This window comes from Homo sapiens, chromosome 10 (assembly GCF_000001405.40).
Source record: "Homo sapiens chromosome 10, GRCh38.p14 Primary Assembly".
NCBI classification, from domain to species: Eukaryota; Metazoa; Chordata; class Mammalia; order Primates; family Hominidae; genus Homo; species Homo sapiens.
The window spans coordinates 6337837-6359673 of record NC_000010.11 but is presented as its reverse complement, the minus strand read 5'-3'; the positions used below and the strand labels follow the sequence as shown (position 1 = coordinate 6359673).

Here is a 21837-nt window from a genome sequence, read left to right as displayed (position 1 = left end):
ATTTCATGGAGAAAGATATTCCATGCAAATTAAACCCAAAAGAGAGAAGGAATAGCTATATCAGATAAAATAGAATTTAAGTCAAAAATTGTACAAAGAAATCAAGAAGGTCATTATGTAATGATAAAAGAGTCAATTCAGCCACAGGATATAACAACTTTATATATATATATATATATATATATATATATATATATATATATACATACATACATACATACATACACACACACACACACACACACACACAGTCAATCCCAATGTTGGAGCACCTAAATATATAAAGCAAGTATTAACAGATCTTAAGGGAGATAAATTTCAATACAATAATAGTAGAGGACAACACCCCACTGACAGCAATGGAAAGAAAGAAAATTAATGAAGAAACATTGAATTTAAAGTACAGTCTAGATCAAATGGACCTAACAGACATATAGAAAACATTCCATTCAACAGCTACATAATACACATTCTTCTCAACTACACATGGAACATTCTCCAGGATAGATTATATGTTAGGCCATAAAACAAGTCTTAACAAATTTAAGAAGATTGAAATCATATCAAGTATCTTTATGACAACAATGGTACAAAACTAGAAATCAATAACCGGAGAAGCTTTGGAAAATTCACAAATACATGGAAATTAAACAACATGCTCCTGAAGAACAAATGGATCAATGAAAAAAAATTTTTAATTTTTTTTACTTTTTGAGAAAAATGAAAATTGAAATACAATATACCAAAACTTATGTAATACAACAAAAGCAATCCTAAGAGGGAAGTTTATAGCAATAAATGTCTATGTCAAAACAGAATAATGATCTCAAATAACTCACCTCAATGAACTAAAAGAACAAAAACAGAAACCATAAATATCAGAGCAGGAATAAGATCAGTGAAACTATCGGCTGGCTTTTTCAAAAGATAAACACAAATAAACAAACCTTTAGTTAGACTAAGAAAAAAAGAGAAAAAAACAAAATCAGAAAAAAAGGAAGACATTACAAAAGATACAACACAAATACAAAAGATCGCAAGAGACTATTATGAACAATTATACACTAACAAATTGGATAACTTAGGAAAAAAAACACAGGAATTACTGGCTTCACTGCTGAATACTACCAAATCTTCAAAGAATATTAATTCTTTTCAAACTCTTCCAAAAATTGAAGAGGAGGGAATACTTCCAAACTCATTTTACAATAGCAACATTATCCCAGTACCAGAGCCAAAGACACTACAAAAAAATTAAAAACTACAAGCCAATGTATCTGAACATACATACAAAAATTCTCAACAAAATCAAATTCAACAGCAAATTAAAATCATTCACTGTGATCAAGTGAGATTCATTCCATGTGTGTAAGGATGGTTCAACATAAGCTAATGAATCAATGAAATTCATCATTTCAATAGACGCATAAAAAATTGACAAAATTCAACATTCTTTAATGATAAAAAATGTTCAACAAATTAGTTATAGAAGGAATGTACACAATACAGTTCATATATGAAAAACCCACAGCTAACATCATCCCTAATGGGGGAAAGTTGAAAGCTTTTCCTCTAAGATTTGGAACAAGTCAAGAACAAGCCCTGTTCTGTTCAACATAGTATTGGAAGTCCTAGCGAGAGCAAGTATGCAAGGGAAAGAAAAAGTCATCTGTCAATTTTGGCAGATGACTTTTCTTTCTTTCCCTTGCATACTTGCTCTGGCTAGGACTTCCAAAGCAAGTATGTTGGCAAATGGGATCTAATTCAACTAAAGAGCTTCTGCACAGCAAAAGAAACTACCATCAGAGTGAACAGGCAACCTACAAAATGGGAGAAAATTTTGGCAACCTACTCATCTGACAAAGGGCTAATATCCAGAATCTACAATGAACTCAAACAAATTTACAAGAAAAAAACAAACAACCCCATCAACAAGTGGGCGAAGGACATGAACAGACACTTCTCAAAAGAAGACATTTATGCAGCCAAAAAAACACATGAAAAAATGCTCACCATCACTGGCCATCAGAGAAATGCAAATCAAAACCACAATGAGATACCATCTCACACCAGTTAGAATGGCAATCATTAAAAAGTCAGGAAACAACAGGTGCTGGAGAGGATAGAGAAATGGGAACACTTTTACACTGTTGGTGGGACTGTAAACTATTTCAACCATTGTGGAAGTCAGTGTGGCGATTCCTCAGGGATCTAGAACTAGAAATACCATTTGAACCAGCCATCCCATTACTGGGTATATACCCAAAGGACTATAAACCATGCTGCTATAAAGACACATGCACACGTATGTTTATTGTGGCACTATTCGCAATAGCAAAGACTTGGAACCAACCCAAATGTCCAAAAATGATAGATTGGATTAAGAAAATGTGGCACATATACACCATGGAATACTATGCAGCCATAAAAAATGATGAGTTCATATCCTTTGTAGGGACATGGATGAAATAGGAAATCATCATTCTCAGTAAACTATCACAAGAACAAAAAAAGCAAACACCGCATATTCTCACTAATAGGTGGGAATTGAACAATGAGAACACATGGACACAGGAAGGGGAACATCACACTCTGGGGACTGTTGTGGGGTGGGGGGAGGGATAGCATTAGGAGATATACCTAATGCTAAAAGATGAGTTAATGGGTGCAGCACACCAGCATGGCACATGTGTACATATGTAACTAACCTGCACATTGTGCACATGTACCCTAAAACTTAAAGTATAATAATAATAAAACAAAACAAAACAAACAAAAAGAAATAAAAGTCATCCAAAATGGAAAAGAAGTTAAATTGTACCTATTTTCAGATCAGCATGATCTTATGTATAGAAAACCCTAAAGACGCCACCAAAAAACTATTAGAACCAATTAATAAATGAATTCAATAAAGTTGCAGGACACAAAACCGACATGAAGCTATGGGGGAAGAAATTTCTAGAAACAAAAACTAAAATATTTAAAGCAAAGTGAATAAACAAGTTTAATAGCAAATTGGACACAGCTGAAAAGACAATTAATGAATTGGAAAGTTTCTCTGAAGAAATTATGCAGAAGATAATCCAGAGAGTTAGAGGATGAAAATGTGAAAAAGAGAACAAGTGTCATGTCAAATAAAGAAAGTAAAGCATAATCATAGTTGTAAAAGAAAAGAGAATTGAACAGAGTCAACAGGAGAAAAAGAGAAAATATCACAGAGGCATTTAAAAAGACTGTCTCTGAATTTTTTGTCATGATGATAGACATCAATCTACAGATTCAGTATGTCTGACAAATCCTAAGAATTACAAAAGGAAATATAATCTGGTACACCAGAGGACAAAGATATTGATTAACAGTTAGAATTTGATATAGTCAGTATGAGTACTGTAATTTCTAGTGTAAGCAGTAAGTGAATAGAAATATATGACTTTCTAACTACTGGAGGGGAAAAAAGTAGAATGAAAAAAAACTAATTAATCCCTCCCCTTAAAAATAGCAAAAAGGACAAAGAAATTTCAGGACAATTAAAGAGCATAAACTTAGATGGTAGGAGTAAATATTAGTACATTAAATATAAATGAATTAAATATCTATTACCTGCTCACTCTGCCTCCATCCTGTCCTACTCCTGATACTACAATGTATCCAGGAACAGAAAAAGTCGAGCTTTTCTCTTTTACCTCCCCTTCCTTTAGGACTAGGATTTCACCTGCATCTAATCTCCTGCCTTCCCAACTGCACTGCATGGGGCAGTCTTAATGGCAAATAAGGTTCAGACTGAGGAATCAGCTTGCCTATAAAAACACTCAATCAAAAGATCTGTTGAAGATATTATATTCCACCATATATAGTAAATGTTCAGAAAACATTATCTGTTGTTTCTTTATTATTATTTCCTAACAGGCCCCTAGCCCTCAAGTGCACAGCTTGGAGTGGTTGCTATGGTTGTTTCTGTGGCATTTTCCATGTTTAATCATCACATTTTCCCAATGATGTTATAAGCCCTCAAAGGCAAGGACAACAGTAGCACCAACAATAGTAACAATAAACTAATACCGCTGAGCAGTTCTGTAATACGTATGCATACATACCTTCACGCCTGGGTTTTCCTTGCCCTTTCGTCCACCTGACACATATCCTTAAAGAATCAGCGTGTGCTTCACCTGCTCTTAAAACTCTTTTCTAGGCTGACTAGGGGAGGACTTGTCATACTTTATTGTGTTTGCTTATTTACAGATGTCATTTTCCACTATAAACTCCTCAAAGATAGAAACCGTGTCTCATACCTGTGTAAGTCTACTCTGCTCAGAATATCATCTCAAATAAATGAGTGAATTGACTGTATACTTACAATGCTCACAGCAACCTGCAAAGTAATTCATTCTTTCTTAGTTCAGTTTTGCTGAGTTACAAGGCTTAGAAAGTAAATGACTTGCCCAAGGTCACACTCACACTCTATTACCTGCTCACTCTGCCTCCATCCTGTCCTACTCCTGATACGACAATGTATCCAGGAACAGAAAAAGTCGAGCTTTTCTCTTTTACCTCCCCTTCCTTTAGGACTAGGATTTCACCTGCATCTAATCTCCTGCCTTCCCAACTGCACTGCATGGGGCAGTCTTAATGGCAAATAAGGTTCAGACTGAGGAATCAGCTTGCCTATAAAAACACTCAATCAAAAGATCTGTTGAAGATATTATATTCCATCATACATAGTAAATGTTCAGAAAACATTATCTGTTGTTTCTTTATTTTGTTTCTTTGTTCATTTGGTTATTACCAAATTCTCACTCTTCCCACTCTGCCACATTACCTCCTCAAACTGCCTGTGTCTTTACAAAGTCCCCTGAGAGTTTGCTGATTTTTGCTTATTGTGCATCAAATGAAGTTGTTTGACATGTCCTGCATTCTGTAGGTGATGACTTGGCTACCCAGAGAAGTGTCACATTCACCTGAGGTCCCAGAGCTGGCCCCTGGCAAACGGGAAATTTACATCCCAGTCCCAGTTCCCAAGCATTCACTTCGCATCACCACCCTTGTAGGAACCAGTGTATGTACAGGCCCTGGACTGGGTACAGTTATAGAGCTCAGCTCCCGTGATGACTGTGAGCATCTACTGTCAATTCCAGCATTGGATCTTCCAGCAGTGACTCTTCCTAGCTTTCAAGTGGTTTGAGTTTAGCAGGAAAAAAAAAAAAAAAAACACTTAAAATGTGTGCTATGTAGCATTTTTCCCCTTCCTTTGGCATTTAAAATTTTCCATGTATTTAAGCGTAATTCAATATGTGCATAAACACAAATTATCTCATCAAAATGAAGGCAGTAAGATCAGCTGGTTGTTTCCAAGACTTTTTGCCAAAACCTCTCTTTACTCTCTCCAGAGAGCCAGAACTAGGCTGCCTGTTGCATATTTAGCATTCGGGTGACACTTTTCAAACCCAGCATTCATTTTTAATGAATTATTGCACCTATAAGCCTAAACTGAGAGGTTGTGGAACACAGCTCTATTCTAAAAGTAAAAGACAGGTAATAGAGACATAATACATCCAAGTAGTAGGAATCTGTGTTAGTTTGGGAGATACTTTATACGTTATTAGTTTTATAATAATTTTAAAACCTCAAGTAAATAAAAGATTTCTGTAAGATAAAGTTTATCGTTAATATGCCAACTGATCTCAATCCATTCAGTCATTCAAAATTACCAGGTTCTTTGCACATCCAACAATTAAAGGTGAGAAGAACTATATATCTCTTCACCCATTACTGCAATACTAAGAGATACGTGATTTAGACAGCTAGACAGCACACCCCAAACCAAATTCTGCCACACAGAGAAATATTTATTAGCAAACAGGCACAAAGCCATTTCTATGAGTTTAATACAGTACCAGGGTTCAGACATTTCCATGAAATATTAACTCTAAACAAACATAACAGCATTCTAGCAGTAGTCTTCAGCTAACATGCTAATGGGATTAAGTTGCTAGAACCCTCTGTTAGTATGTGGACACAAGACAGATTGGCATACCTGGTTTAGGCATCACTCCAAACAAAGTTTGTAATCCAGGATTACTAGATTCCTAAACCCTATTTATGCAAGGACAGGGGTGTCTTTAAATAGCACTAGCCAAATCACATATCTCCAACACTCCTTAATTTTCCAGTGCAAAATAACTTCTTTTATTTATTAGGCTAATTAGGGAACCTTCTAGAACTCTCTAGAGATAAAGATCATTAAGGCCTTATAGTAGTCCTTCAAACACTACCAACCACTCCTAAAAGATGTGTGTCCAGTTAAAGTATTTTAAATTTTAGCTACAACCTTATAGAGGATTAAGAATACACACACACACACGCACACACACACACACACCTGTCTATACTAGAATATTTAAAAGTAAGTTATAGACAATATAATAGCTAGATAAAACAAAAGAATAAGGTATATGGGTTTTATAAAGACACACAGTATAATGATGGTGTCTCTGGACTCTTCCATAAAACAAAGGCATATTTTTTAAACTTTAGTTTGGTTCTTAATTACACAGAAAATCACAGCTTAGTCCATAATTAAATCCAAAGAAAGTGAGGCCCAGATAAATGGCATGACTTGCTGTAGGTTGTCCTGATAATTAACGGCAGCGTCAAAGCTGACACAAATCTTTAATCTTTTCCATGCTGCTGTGGGGCCCACAGGTAATAGATGTCCACAAATAAAAAAAGGTTTTCTAAATATAAAAATCATCCATAATTCTTTGTAGAAACTGTGAAAAAGAAAATACAAATGTAAATAATAAAATGTTAGTAATAATTCTAGCAGCACTCAGATACAGCCACCATTGGTGTATTTTTCTAGATACTGAGGTCACCTTGTAATTTTGGTTTACAAAATTTACATACTTCATGCGTGGTTTTGTGAACTGCTTTTATTTCATTTGGTTTTATATTGGAATCAATTCACCATGACATTTAATAGCCTTCAAAACAGGATTTTTGTAATGGCTGCGTGTTAGTCCATCATATTAACATTTATTTATACATTCCTCTATTTTGGACGTAACAGATACTATTTCGGAAGATTTGTTTTTTATAATCTCTCTAAGATGAATATTTTTCTCCTAGAATGTAAACACTATAAAGGCAGAGAGTTTGTCTTACTGATCACAATACCCTCAACCCCCCAGAAGTGCCTGACACATAGTTGGAGCTCAACAGGGATGGATGGATGGATGGATGGATGGATGGATGGATGGATGGATGGATGGATGGAAATGTATATTTGTATTTACCTCTGATAATTTCTCAAAAGTCTTCTTAGTTTGAGCACTAACATTGATTCTCTAGTTATGCTTGCTACACAGAATACAGGGCATCTATTTATCTGAAAATATTCATTATCCCATATTGTACTAGAGCCATATCCATTCTTTATCTGACACATCTGAAATTAGTTGTTATTTATCTGAAATTCAAATTTAATTTGATGTACCACATTTTAATTTGAGAAATCAGACAAACCTAGTTCTTAACATACCACCTTCACAAGACAGCCTGGCTAGAATACTCCACTGGTCTCTGAGCAAAAGCCTAATCCCCTTAAAGAGTCTAAGCCCATTAACCTATAGCAGCCAAACTGAGTGCTGTAAACAACCTCTATTTTTGAGCTCCTGATCTTCTCCATTAGTCAAGACAAATTAGAAAAACAATAAGAAAGAGAACAACCCATCATGACAATGGAAGAACCAGGCCATGATCTTTCCAAGCACAAACTGCAGCATTTTAGCATCTTCCCAGCACTGCTTCCCTGTCTATCCCTACCTGTCCTCCCCTGCCTCTGACATTAGTCATCATGATGCCTTCCTGCTTCTCCAAGGGACTCAGGATCTGATCCTTGCCTCCCCATCCAACCACCTGCCTGCCTGCCTGTCTCCCTCTCTGCACTCCAGCCAGCTTGCATGTCTCTTCGTTCCTCCCCTGCACCAGGCTCCTTCTTGCCACAGGATCTTTGCACATGCTCTGGCTTCTGCTTGGAAAGCCTTCTCTGTCTCCTCCTCCCTCCTCCCATTCCTTGGTTAACTCTTAGTCATCCATCATCACAGCTGCAAAGTCACTTCCCTAGGGAAGCTGTCCCTTTTTGCAGGCTGGTCAGCTTCCTCGGATCTAAGCTGTTAAAAGTTCTGTGTATTTTCCCTTCTCTACACTTACCATAGTTGACATTTTATTTTTGCTCTGGGATTATTTGGTTAATGTGCTAGAATCAAAACTCCAGAAGGGCCAGAACACTATGGCTTTTTTTGTTATCACTATGTTCCCAGCACTCAGCAAAAGAAAAATAAAAAACCAGACCCTCATTGTCACCTAATGGTGGTACTGTAATTCTCTCATTCCTTCCAAATGTATCAGCTGAATTTTTCAATAAAGAAGACATTTCCCTTATCAGCTCTTCCGTAACTGTGAGGTACAGTTTATACAAGAAAAGCAGAATAAATGCTTGAATTTTCCCCTTCTATTTACCAGTTTTCAGAATAATCAGAGGTGACAGACTCCTCCAAAGGTAACAAATGAGTTTGGTTTTACCGTTTTGAGTATTATGAATTCATGGATGTATACATGTTGATGTGTTTCAGTCCACTAAAGTCATTATTCTTTGGGATGCTCAAATTGTCTCATTGTTGGCCAGTAGAAGCCTGGGCCCTTTTGCCATGACCTCAGTTGTCTTTAATAGCTGTCCGGCTTGTATGACAAGACATTCTTGGATCCCCTTGTACAGCTCCTGACACCAATCTGGTTCAGCTATTTCTTCAAGAAGGCCTGGTTCCTTGTACATTCTTATTCACCTGTGGTTTCAATTCCCTAGTCTCTAAAAGAAACACTACAAATAGAAATTCTGTTCTGATTTTTCTCCTGTACAGCGGACCTGTATACCTAACAGATGACTGGGCATTGCCATCTCTGCCCACAACACACATCCTGAATTTGACTTGTTTGCACATGAAGTCATCATCCCTCCCCAAGATGGGCTCTCTATTATGCCTTCCTTGGGGATCAGTACTTGGAGTCGGGTCAGGGCAAGATACTGTTAGTGACATGTGGAATTCAGCCACACCATCATGAGAAGGTCCTCTCTGTGTGTTCTGGCTAAACCAGCCTTCTACCAGGTTAGCACGATTCTGGGCTTTGCAACATTCATGACCTGTTTGAGGGCACTGAAGGAGATGCTCAGCCACATCCCTTAATTTGCATGAGCCTGTAGGAAAAATATGTTTAAGAAGTCTGGCTGTCTGAGCAGGCCAAAGGAGAAGATGGAAGAGAAGGTGGTTTCCTGAAAGCATGAAGCTGTATCTGTTCATATTTTGACACCATCCCAGGAAGAAGAGGCTGAGGTAGGAAAGTACAGTCAGCTCTGGGAGTTCCCTCTGGAGAAGCTGGCTATGAGACGTGGAAGAAGCTCCCCAGCTGCAGTAGAAGGCACGAGAAGGTTTCAGGCTTTCCAGGTGGGCGTAGAATGGGCAGCAGCACAGGCATAACCTGGAGTGGCACAGGTGCCAGGGAAGAGGGCAGACGCCATGCGTGACATAGCAAGGGGATCACACCGCATCCATTGTGCATGAGACCACTTTTCACCACCCAGGCGACTCAAGGAGATAACTGGATGGGTGGTTCCAGGAAAAGAATGGACATCCTGCTAGGCCATCATATGCTGTCTCAGAGCACTGAGGTTTGATAAATGTGGTGAATTTGGAGGCACTCACAGCTGAGTCCCAGCACAGAGTGGGCACATAAGCAACACCATTTTCTCATTGCCCAAGCCAGCCCCTGCCCACAGCACCTCCACTTCCCAGAGCCACACCCAATCAATGGCCAACTTATGATTCTAATCTTGAATGTCTGTCGAGATCTTTTCCTTCTCCATCACTAAGCTCTCTCCTTTAAGTAAAAATTTTTCTCCTGGAGGAATGCCTCCTGGCTGATGCTTCTGCAAATCACCTCACTTCTCTTCAAGCCCTCCTCTGTTACAGACTATTCCAAATTTTTTTTTGTTTTTTTGTTTTTTTGTTTTTAACTTTTGCCTACCTTGTCGGCTCACGCCTGTAATCCCAGCACTTTGGGAAGCCGAGGTGGGTGGATCACCTGAGGTCAGGGGCTCTAGACCAGCCTGGCCAACATGGTGAAACCCTAGCTCTACTAAAAATTCAAAAATAAGCCGGGTGTGGTGGTGGGTGCCCGTAATCCCAGCTACTCAGGAGGCTGAGGCAGGAGAATCGCTTGAACCCAGGAGGCGGAGGTTGCAGTGAGCCAAGATCGAGCCACCGCACTCCAGCCTGGGTGACAGAGTGAAACTCCATCTTAAAAAAAAAAAAAAAAAATGCCTACCTAAATCTAACGTAAAACTTTGAGCTCACTCTGAAATATATTCATATTTACTTACAAGGGGAAAATGCCCTATGAACTGAAAATTATGTGTATTTTAGAACATACACAAAAGAGAAGTTAAAAGAAAATGAGAAAAATAAATAGATGTGATAATACTTTATTTCATTACTCCGATTAATAGTCTTACCAAACTCACCCGAAGACTGCCTGCAAAGTTCTTGAAGGAGCTTGGGATTGTAGGTGCTTTTGATGTTTTATTCAGACTGGACTAGATGCTTTAACCCTGAAGGTGCATCTTACGTATCTAAAAAAGACTTCCCTTAGGGCTAAACATAACAGAAAAGTGATGAATGAAGGAATCTGTCCAACATGTCATCTTTGATTGAAGATAAATACATTCATCTTATGGTTCTAGCTCTATTAAATTGAGTCTGTTTAATACACCCTGTCTGCAGCTAAACTAATTATTTCAGGCTGGATTTTCAATTTCTTACCTAGCCCTAGGATAAAACACAGAGTTGAATGGTTACGTAATCACCAGGTGCCGCTCAAGTGGTGATTTTTCAAATCAAGTATGGATCTCAAAGAAGAGAAGCAAATAACAACAGAGATACTTCTTGTGCTAGGGCCCTGGTTGCAGGACGGTGTCCCACCAGGCTACAGCTCTTAAATGGCAGAGCTGCTGCTGACACCTCTGTCGTTCTTGCAAGATCAAATACCAACTGCGTTGACTTCAAATCTGGCTTAAAAATAGGCCTAGCAGGCATAGTTTTCTCATCAAAACAAATTAGCCTAAAAAATAGCATTCCGAGAGACCAAGGGTTAGGAAAATTGTCCTGTGAGTGTTTTGAATTCTTTGTCACCCTTCATAACTGGTGCCGTTCATGAGGGAGCTTATTGGCTTGGGGGATGACAACTTGAACAGCAAAACAGGATGTGTCACCACCAGGCCCCCTGCTCTGCTGCAATCTACGAGAATTAATCAGTTTTGGGTTTTTTTGTTGGTGGTGACGGTGGTTTTTTTCCTTTCTTTCTTCCTTTTTTATGTCAGCGTCTCAGATGGGCACACACTGAAACAGCTTCTTATTTGCATGCGGTGTGGCCTGGCGAGGGTGAACTGAGGACACGCAGAGCTCCCTCTGACTTGGCACCGGCAGGAAGTCGGCGGCAAGAAGCTACCACTTTTCAAGCCTGGGTGGCTTTTTCTTTTTTCTCTGTCATTCATTTTGGAAGAAAGCATAAGTTTGATTTCAAACAGAACACAAAAACTTGGAAGGAGGGCCAAACACAGGCAGGCAGATGATTCTTGTCCCCACTTTTACTTTTTTAAAATTTAATTGGAGATGCTGCAGAGGTGGCAGAAAGGGGCCAGAGGATGGTAGGTGCAGACTCGCTGCGGTGACAATGCCCCGGGCATCCCCTTTCTGCACAGTGGGGCACGGCATCCAGGGGCAGCCTCCTCTCCAGACACCTGGGCAAATCCAAATCTGTGTTTCTTTGTCATTCACCTGAGGAGAAGTCCCTTATTCCAACGACCACTCCCGTGTGAGCGGTGACAGGTTTGAGCAGAATGAGTCAACGCTGAAATGATGCCTGTGCCATTTCACAGGAATTTGCTTCTTTCTCGCTGGTTTTCAGATGCAGTTCGAGGCTTCCGTTTTTTTCTCTGGATTTGAATCTCGTCCACAGATCACTGCTGCCTTGCAGCTGAGTGTGTCATTTGCAGCCCTGCTGTCTGGGGCCCGAGACTCCACACAAGATGTGCTCAGAGAAGCAAATGAACAACTCTGCTCTGATAGGGGCAGCAAAGAGGCAAGCAGCTACCAACAGAAGGACACTGAGTTTCTGGGGGTGGCATCTGGCCAAGGTTCCTGTCATCTCTCTCAGATAAAACACCAAATTCTTCCCCAACAGAAGCAGCAAAAACATATAATATAGGCCAGCGCAGCGGCTCACACCAGTAACTTATGCCTTGGGAGGCTGACGGGGGAGGATCACTTGAGGCCAGGAGTTGGAAACAAGACTGGGCAGTATAGCAATATCCTGTCTCTACAACAAAATTTTAAAAATTAGCTGGGCATGGTGTTGCATGCCTGTAGTCCCAGCTACTTGGAAGGCTGAGGTGGGAGGATCACTTGGGCCCAGGAGGTCAAGGCTGCAGTGAGCCATGATTGCACTACTGCATTCCAGCCTGGGTGACAGCGAGACCCTGTCTCAAAACAAGACAAACAAATAAACAAAAAAAACCATAATGTAGAGTATTTATAAGTTGCCTTATTCCAAGGAACAAAAAATGGTGGGAAACTATGACAGTATAATATGGTATGTGGTAATATTTAGCTATGTCTAAAATGTCACTTTGATGAGCAAGTTTTATCATTTTTATACTCATCCTAAATTATTTGTTTCCAAATCAGAGTGCAATGGCCCTTGGGAACTGGGAAAGAATGTCTTCCCAGACCTGGAGGAAGCTCCAAATGACTGGATCCTAATGATTCTACAGGTTCCTGGCTTTTCCCAGCAGTCCCTGCCCCCTGAGTCACCCTTCCTATAAATATCCCCATCCCACAAGATAATGGTCTTTTCAAATTTCATTAAGTTTTTGTCTCTTACCAAATTGCTCTCTATACTTTTAACAACGTTTCATCACCTGAAGAGCTTTACGGGGTTCGCTAACCCCCTTGCCTCCTCACTAGCTAAATATCTCATCTCAGATATCCCTTGAACTTGTACCTCTGCAAAATTAAAACGACTACATACTATGGAACGTCTTGAAGGTCAACACCAAAATACCACATCCTTTGAAGGGCCAAGAGTACACGCTAACCTATGTCGTAGGACAAATTTATAACCTGGTGATCCAGAAAAGGACCATCCTCTAAGATGGGGGCTAACCTGGCTTTCCCCTGTGTGGTCATAATACCTGGAAAAGACATGATTTGAAAGGTGAATATATTTGAATTGCTACAATAAGCCACAATCTAACAAGGGTCCATTTCTATTGGCCATGGAGCTTCCATTTCATTGGGATTTGCCACTCTGGTGATGTCCTCTTACCCAACTGACCCAAAGACTTTTAACATCACACTTTTTTTTTCTGGGCTTTTAAAGCAAGTTTTTGAGGCCAGAGTAAATCATGATAGGCTGTACAAAAGTCTTTACCTGGAAGCCCATCAAATATATATTTCTATAAGATCTGTTTTTATGTTTGTGCAATCAGCGTGTGTTGGCTGGAATGAATTCTCTATTTGTTTGTCATGTGGAAGGATAACCCATGACAAGCCAGCCTAGCAAAGTGGTTCAGTGTGTTGGGTTCTTTGGAACCACATAGACACTTCCAACCTTATCCTGCATTTAGCTCTTTGACCTTAGGCAAATTACTTTATTATCTTTAGCCTCATTTCTTAATTTGTGGAGTGGAGATAACAAGGCTCATAGGGTTGTTGTGAAGATTATGTATTTAAATTGTGTAGCCGCAGTGCTTGAAACAACCAATAAACAGACGATTGAGAGAGAGAGAGAAGATAGATGGATGGATGGGTGGATGAACAAATGGATGGAAGGATGCATGGATGGATGGGTGGATGGATGGATGGATGGATGGATGGATGGATGGATGGATGCATGGATGGATGGATGGATGGATGGATGGATGGATTAATGGATGGATGAACAGATGGATGGATAAGTAGATAGATGTATGGATGGATGGATGGATGGATGGATGGATGAAAATGGATGGATGGATGGATGGATGGATGGACAGATGGATGGATAAGTAGATAGATGGATGGAGAGATAGACAAATAGATGGATAGGCATCAGCAAAAGAAGAGTTGCTACTTCTGGGATCTGATACTGAATGACTTGAGACAAATCTTGTGATCTGCCAATATCACAGGGTCATATGGAGCAACTTTGCTCAGATATTGGCAGCAAAAGGCCAGCAGGCACAAACAGAAGGACACTGACTTTCTGTGGGTGAGAAAAGGGGAAAAGAGAAAAGAAAAAAGGGGAGTGGGGCTAAACAAATTAAATGATATTTAAGGTCATTTTCAATCCCCTGATTCTGAGAAAACAGGACTCTGAAGTGTTTGAGCACACTGAGAAGGGCATTTTGTTAACGACACTACTGTTTATTTTTGACTGTTTAACTTTCACCACAATACACTCTTTCATGTAGATTCCTCTTTGCCTTTTTTCTCAGTCTAATTCCTTGAATAAGAGTCCTATGTGAAGACCTAGGCTTGACTAAGAAAGCTTGTCTTGCAAGCAGGCTAGTCTGTATTGCCTAGTCTCCTGAATTATCTAGAAATGGCTTTTGTCTGCTATAAGCAGAGACCCAAAGTAAGCATGGCTTAATCACATTATGGGATGACTTTCTTTCACATGGCATGGTCTGAGGAGAGATGACCAGGGAGCATAGGAGGGCTCCACATTGTCAGCAGGAACCAGGTACCCTATATCATTCTGCTCCACCACCTTCGGCTGTGGGATTTTGTTCTCCAGAACTCACCTCATAGGCACAAGATGGCTGCTGGAGCTCCAGTCATTCCACTTCTTTGCAGATACAAAAAAGGAGAAGACAGAAGTACAAAAGGTCACTTTTTCCAGCTGGGTCAGCCACCTTCACAAAGCCTTCCCAGAATCCCATCCAGTGACTTCCACTTACATCTCCTTGGCCACAATTCCAGCAAGGGACACTGAAATATAGGCTTTTAGCTGGGCACGTGTTCACCTTCCTGTGATAGCAACAGTAGGGAAGAATGGATATTGAGGAGGCAAGTAACAGCCTCTGATACAGCTCCTTCCCCGAAAAGCCCTTGTAAAAGGCCGGGTACCCTGTGACAGGTTCTCCACCTTGCTCCATGGGCAGCCTGCATCCCTGCCTACCCCTTTCCACTGTCTTTCCTCCTCCCTGGTTCTTATAAGCAATCCTAGCTCCTCAGAGGCAGCCCTCTAGCGAGGCTCCATCTATAGAGCTTGACTTTAGACTTGGCCAAGCTCTGCTTCACCTAAATAAAGGCATCATCTCAATACTCTCTAAACTCATCCTCCCACTCCCAATGGGAACAAGCACATGGAAACAAACGCAAGGGGAGGGAGAAGGCGGTCTCTATCCTTGCTTCCGGGATGGCATTTCTACCAGTGTCATCACAGTCAAACATGGGTGGCAGTTTCCTTTTCTTAGACCTCCCTCAATGTGTGACATGCCCCATGGCCCTTTCATAACTAGGAGGAAAAGTCCACATCTTGCCAGTGAAGAGGAGGCCACAGCCTCTGCCAGGGGCTCCCTTTCCCCTACCCAGGAGGTCACGATGAGATTGGGGATCGCAAAGCCAATGCTGCTCTTGCCCACAACCCATCAGAGTCCTCTCTTGCAGGCTTTGCTTTGGCATAGGGAGGGTGCCTGCTTATTAAGCATCCAGATGAGCAAACTCTGCCACTGCAGTTCTCCACCCAGCAGCTGGGAGCCTGACAGCAACCAGATGGAACCAGGCTGGGCAGGAATAGGGAGGGGCAATTCCCTACAAGGCTGGCCCAGAAGACATGGCTGCAGAAGACTGCTGGCAAGTCCATAGCTGAAAAAGATCCCATGTCATACTTTGCTGCAGAGTGCTCTCTGCAGAGTCCCCGAATCACATTGTAATAAAGCCAGATGGGTATTGACAGTTCACCTGGCTCAGCTGCCTGCCTCTAGATGTGGCTGCGTGCAGTAGGAAGGCCAGACGTGGGGATATTATTGGAAGCAACACACACATGTGCACACACACAAAATGCACATGCACATACACAAATATGCACACAGATGTGTGCATGCATGTGAACAAATGTGCACACTCACGCATGCACACATATGCATATACACATGTCCTCACCCTGCTTTGAGCCTGCCTACATCCTGGCCTCAGATGCAGGGCTGGGCAGGAAGCAGAGGAGAATCCTCTGCCACAGAAGGCCTGGCACCAGCGTCAGGACCATCAGCCTCCCCACGCTGTGTCTCTGCCCCAGGAGGCAGGAGGCTCTCAGGATGCAGCACCTCTGGATCTACCATGTCCCTCCTACACCTGGCACTCCATCACAAAACTCTAGGTGCCCTGAACCTGGTTCCAGAGACATGCATAGCCCCTGTCCACCCCTCCAACTCCACCTGGCCTCCTCTCCCTACTTCATTTTTTTGGATTTGGGTCCGAAGTCCTTCTCCTTTGCCCTCCAGGCCGTGGTGATGCCAGGCCTAAATTCCTAGGCCTGGAAAGCTTGCCAACAGTCCACAACATCTCAAGGCTCGCTGGTACCTGCAGCAGAGCTCTTTCCCCACCAATTTTTCTGACAGCCCCCAGCAGACATCCACTTCTCACTTGTGCCAGCATAGATTATGGTAACCCCATCCTAATCCAAGTGTGTGGCTGGTAAACTCTCTCCAGCTGAAATACAAAATTTTAGTAGTGTTTACTCTTGGGAAGTTTTTTTTTGTTTTTTTTTTTTTGAGAGTCTTGCTTGGTCACCCAGGTTGGAGCGCAGTAGCACGATCTCGGCTCACTGCAACCTCTGCCTCCCAGGTTCAAGTGATTCTCCTGCCTCAGCCTCCCGAGTAGCTGAGATTACAGGCATCTGCCACCACGCCCGGCTAAGTTTTGTATTTTTCATAAAGTTGGGGTTTCACTATGTTGGCCAGGCTGGTCTCCAACTCCTGACCTCAGTGATCTGCCTGCCTTGGCCTCCCAAAGTGCTGGGATTACAGACATGAGTCACTGTGCCCGGGCGAGGGAAGTTCTTACATATTGAGGAAAATCTCCATTATTCTACAACTAGCTCCTCTCTGCTACCCACTTTGGGGCCAGCTGGAGCATGTCCAGAAAATGCAAACTAATTCTAAGCTCCAAAAGGAGTCTCCTGCAATTAAAAAAGAGAGACCAGGAGAGAGCAAGAAGGAATTTCTCCTTCAACATATGTACATGGTACGGTAACTGACATTTTTATGACCATTATAATAGGAGACTGGCATTGCCTCTTGCCTGAAGATGAGAACGCTTGCTGTGTGGGCGTTTCTTCACTCTCTTGCCTGCGATCAGCAAAGCCTCTGTCAGACTAATTGAAGGAAAAGGAGGATTGCTATGCAAACAAAATAGACGGCATACAGACACAGAGCCTTTGTATTTCAGGTAGACTGCGGACCTTGCTGCTCTATACCTCCTTTCCCTCCTAGCCATCACTGTTTTTCCTTTATGTCTCGCTCTCTCTCATGCTGGGCCTCTCCAAGCAGAGAGGGTTTGATGGAGTTGGTTTAGTAAGATCTGATACTCAATGCCTACTTAGGTTCCAACCTGACCCTGTCTCCTGCCACCAAGGGAGCCAGTCATCTGCATTTTGCAGCTTGGAGAACCAGAGGTCCGTGGGACTAGCAGGCCTGCCCTGTGTACTTCGTTTCCATGCATTTTTATATTATTTTTAATTGACAGATCATAATTGCATTACATTTACGGCATATAATGAGATATTTTGATATATGTACACATTGTGGGGTGATTAAATCAAGCTAATGAACAAATCCCTCACCTCAATTGCTTGACATCTTCTGTGATGATACATTGAGTTATTTTGTTACATATAACTTAGTTATTTTGAAATATGCATCATTGACTGTAGTTACTCTGCTGTGCAATAGATCTCAAAACCTATTTTTCCTGTCGAGCTGAAACATTGTATTCTTTGACCAATAACTCCCCTTTCTTCCCTCTCCCCGAGCCTCTGGTAGCCATCATTCTACCCTCTACTTCTGTGAATTCAAATCGTTTTAAATAGTGAAGCTCCATCTCTACTAAAAATACAAAAAAAAAAATTAGCCGGGCATGGTGATGGGCTCCTGTAATCTCAGCTACTTGGGAGGCTGAGGCAGGAGAATTTTGAACCTGGGAGATGGAGGTTGCAGTGAGCCGAGGTTGCGCCACTGCACTCCAGCCTGGGCAACAGAGCAAGACTCCGTCTCAAAAAAAATTAAAACAAAAAATTGTTTTAAATTCCACATGAAAGTGAGATCATGCATTGCTTGTCTCTCTGTACCCAGTTTATTTCACTTAGCAGTTTTAAATATCTAGCGACTGGCAACTCTCATCCAAGTGCTCATGTCTCTGGTTAAAGAGAAAAGGCTAATTTGCTGGGATTCAAGGCTGACCAGTCAGGCCTGGTGTAGGCTTGTTGCACCTCCTGGCCTGCATTTTTTCCTACTGCCCTTCACCCTCCACCTGAGCAGTCCCCTCTCTCCCTGTGGTTTCCGTGACATTCCCATTCTATCATCTCCCATTTCCTTCCTGGCGCGTCCTGCTGAGCTCCAGACCTGTGTATCCAGCCCCCTATTTAACGCCCACCCTTGGGTCTTTCGTAGTCATCTCAAAGGTGGTGTGTGTCCAACCTGAACACTTGAACCCCCACTGCCCCACCTGCCCGCACCACCAAGTGTGTCCCTCCCCCAGCGATTGCTGCCACACTCTGTGGTGTTTTTATTTTCTCATTGCTGGTGCCAGAACAGGGAGCAGCTATCCCTGGCACCTGGCTCTCCCCCTGTCTCACCACCTCCTCCCATCTGGTTCATCACCCAGCCCAGCATAGCTCACCTCACCTGTGAGCAGGGAACCCACCCACTCCCTTCATCTCTGCTGCTCCATCCTGCCCCAGCCATCCTGGGCTCCTCGTGGGGCTACTGCAAGACCCGGGAGGCTTGTTCCCCCAACACTGGTTTCCCTTCCCACCCTCATCCCCCACTCCCTGCTCCCCATAAAGCACCCATGATGAGCTTTGTTTTAATGTGTTAGAATATACATAACATAAAACTTACCACTTTAACCATATATATAGATAGATAGAGATAGAGATAGAGAGAGATATAGATATAGATATAGATTTTTTTGTTTTTTGAGATGGGTCTTGCTCTGTCACCCAGGCTAAAGTGCAGTAGTGCAGTCTCAGCTCACTGCAACCTTCGCCCCCTGGGTTCAACCGATTCTCCTGTCTCAACCTCTTGAGTAGCTGGGATTACAGGCACGCACCACGACAGCTGGCTAATTTTTGAGTTTTTTGTTTGTTTGTTTGTTTTTTAGTAGAGACAGGGTTTCACCATGTTGGTCAGGTTGGTCCCAAACTCCTGACCTCAAGTGATCTACCCACCTCGGCCTCCCAAAGTGCTGGGATTATGGGCATGAGTCACCGCACCTGGCCCACTTCAACCATATTTAAGTGTGCAGTTTCGTGGCATTAAGTACATTCAAATTGTTGTGCAAACATTCCCACCACCCACCTCCAGAACTTTTACTTCTTCCCAAACTGAAACTCTGTCCCCAGGAAACATAACTCTCCATGCTCCCATCTCCCCCAGCCCCTGGCCACCACCTCTCTACTCTCTGTCTCCTTGAGTTGAATATTCTAGGGACCTCATGGGAGTGGTATCACACAGTATTTGTCCTTTTATGTCTGGCTTATTTCACTCAGCATGTTGTCTTCAAGGTTCATCCACGCTGTAGCATGTGCCAGAATTTCCTTCCCTTTTTAAGGCTGAATAATATTCCATTGTGTGAACAGACCATCCCTTTCCTATCCATTCTCCATCAGTGGACACTGGGGTTACTTCACTTCCACCTTTTGGCTATTATGAATAACACTGTTATGAACGCTAGGGTATAAATATGTTTGAGTCCCTACTTTTTATTCTTTTTGGTATATACCCAGAAGTAGAACTGCTGGATCACACGGTAATTCCATGTTTAATATGTTGAGGAAGCATAAAAAACTTTTAAAAACATTAGTAAGATGATATCTTTCCCCTTTGTAAAGCCCTCCAATGACGTCCCATGGCACATGGTCAGCAGGTGCACAGCCGCTGGGTTCTGCCTGGCCCGTCCTGGCCTCTCCAGCCTTCTCCCCCATCACTCTGCCCCTCTCTTGCCTTATTCCAGCCTCATGGGCCTTCCTCCCACAGCTCAAGGCTCAAAGCTCTTCCCCAAATCACCACTTTCACATATTCTACTCTCCTTCTGGTCTCCGTTTGAATATTACGTTCTCAGGGAAGTCTGGCCTCCTGCCCCAGCCTGAACCCGATGCCCTGATGGAGCCTCATCTCTCGGTTGGTTGGCGTAGGTTCATGCAGGTGGGGCTCACACTCCCATCTCACTACTCCCCTCAGCATCTGGCACATGGAGGGATGAATGGAGAGCTCTGCTATGTTACGGGTTGTTGTTACTGCCGCTGCTGTAGTTTTGGAGCAAGACTAAAGCTTATCATATGCCAGCAAGGCAGGACTTGTCTTCATTAAGTGATGGTGGAGCTTCTCCCATCGGTGCTAGTGCCCTCGTCGAGGGCCACACTGGGCACCCCAGGCTCAGCACATTACATTCGACTGGTGTAGCCTGAGCATGTTATTTAGGCTGCTGTTTGTCTCCTAATATAATGTATTGCTCACACACCTGTTTCTATCACCAGACTTAAAGCTAGTTGTGAGTGGGAAGAACATGTGATTTTTTTTTTAATCTCACTTGTCATTGATACATCTGGAACCATGCCATCGGTAGGTGCATCTTTGAAAGGCGACTGAAATGATTTGGTGGCTTGGTTTGAATACGACTCTCGAAATTTTACCACGTATGAACATATTCTATTTCTAAAAACAGCCTCAAATCAACTTGGCTTCTCAAATGTTAAATAATTGTTGAATCTTTTAAATTGCTATCTAGCCATATTGCAATTAGAGCAAACATAGGATGCATCAGCTCTGCCAACTCATGAGTGGTTTCTATGATTGCATTTCTCCTTAAATTTGTGGATGTTGTATCAGCATTCAGACTGTGTACGTCAGTCATTTAAATGCCTCTATGTGCGTGTATATGAATGTTCATAAGAACTACCATTTACTGAGCTGCTACATCTCTTAAACCTGCAGTGTTAGGCTCTTACACTATGCTAAGGGATTCATATATATATATAATTGCTCCATGTATATTCACATCATATTATTCATATATATCGTTTATATATATGAATATATACATATATAGGGCTTCATATATAGGAATACATGAATATGTATGTATATACATATATAGGAAGATATATATATATAGCCCTTAGCAGAGTATAACAGACCAACACTATGGGTTTATATATGGCATATACATATATATTAATATGTATTCATGTATATAATTTATATATATTAATATGTATTCATATATATAATTTATATATGAATTCATATATATAAATTATATATATGAATACATACATCTTGTAAACCCATATGTTGGTCTGTTATACTCTGCTAAGGGCGATACATATATGTATATATCTTCATATATATAATTTAATCAGTATGCAATTAAACGCTGTAAATATAAGTGTTTTTATCCCAGGTTTATAGAAAGAAAATTTGATTTTTAGAAAGATTGAATAATTCCCTTAAGGCTACACGGCACA

At 41.6% G+C, this 21837-nt stretch overlaps 1 long non-coding RNA gene across 1 annotated transcript, besides 1 other annotated feature; it reads right to left on the bottom strand.

Annotated features, from left to right (window-relative positions):
- Positions 1-5865: 5865 nt before the first annotated feature.
- LINC02656 (long intergenic non-protein coding RNA 2656) lies at positions 5866-9358 on the bottom strand. The gene has a single exon (NR_148966.1). It is a non-coding gene; the product is annotated as a long intergenic non-protein coding RNA 2656 (long non-coding RNA).
- Positions 11164-11664: a transcriptional cis regulatory region, noted in NCBI's record as "chr10:6389972-6390472 region (GRCh37/hg19 assembly coordinates) targeted for CRISPR interference". NCBI's record gives its function as "positively regulates PFKFB3 gene expression in Jurkat T cells {active_cell/tissue: Jurkat}" and the evidence as "EXISTENCE:mutant phenotype evidence [ECO:0000015][PMID:33828297]".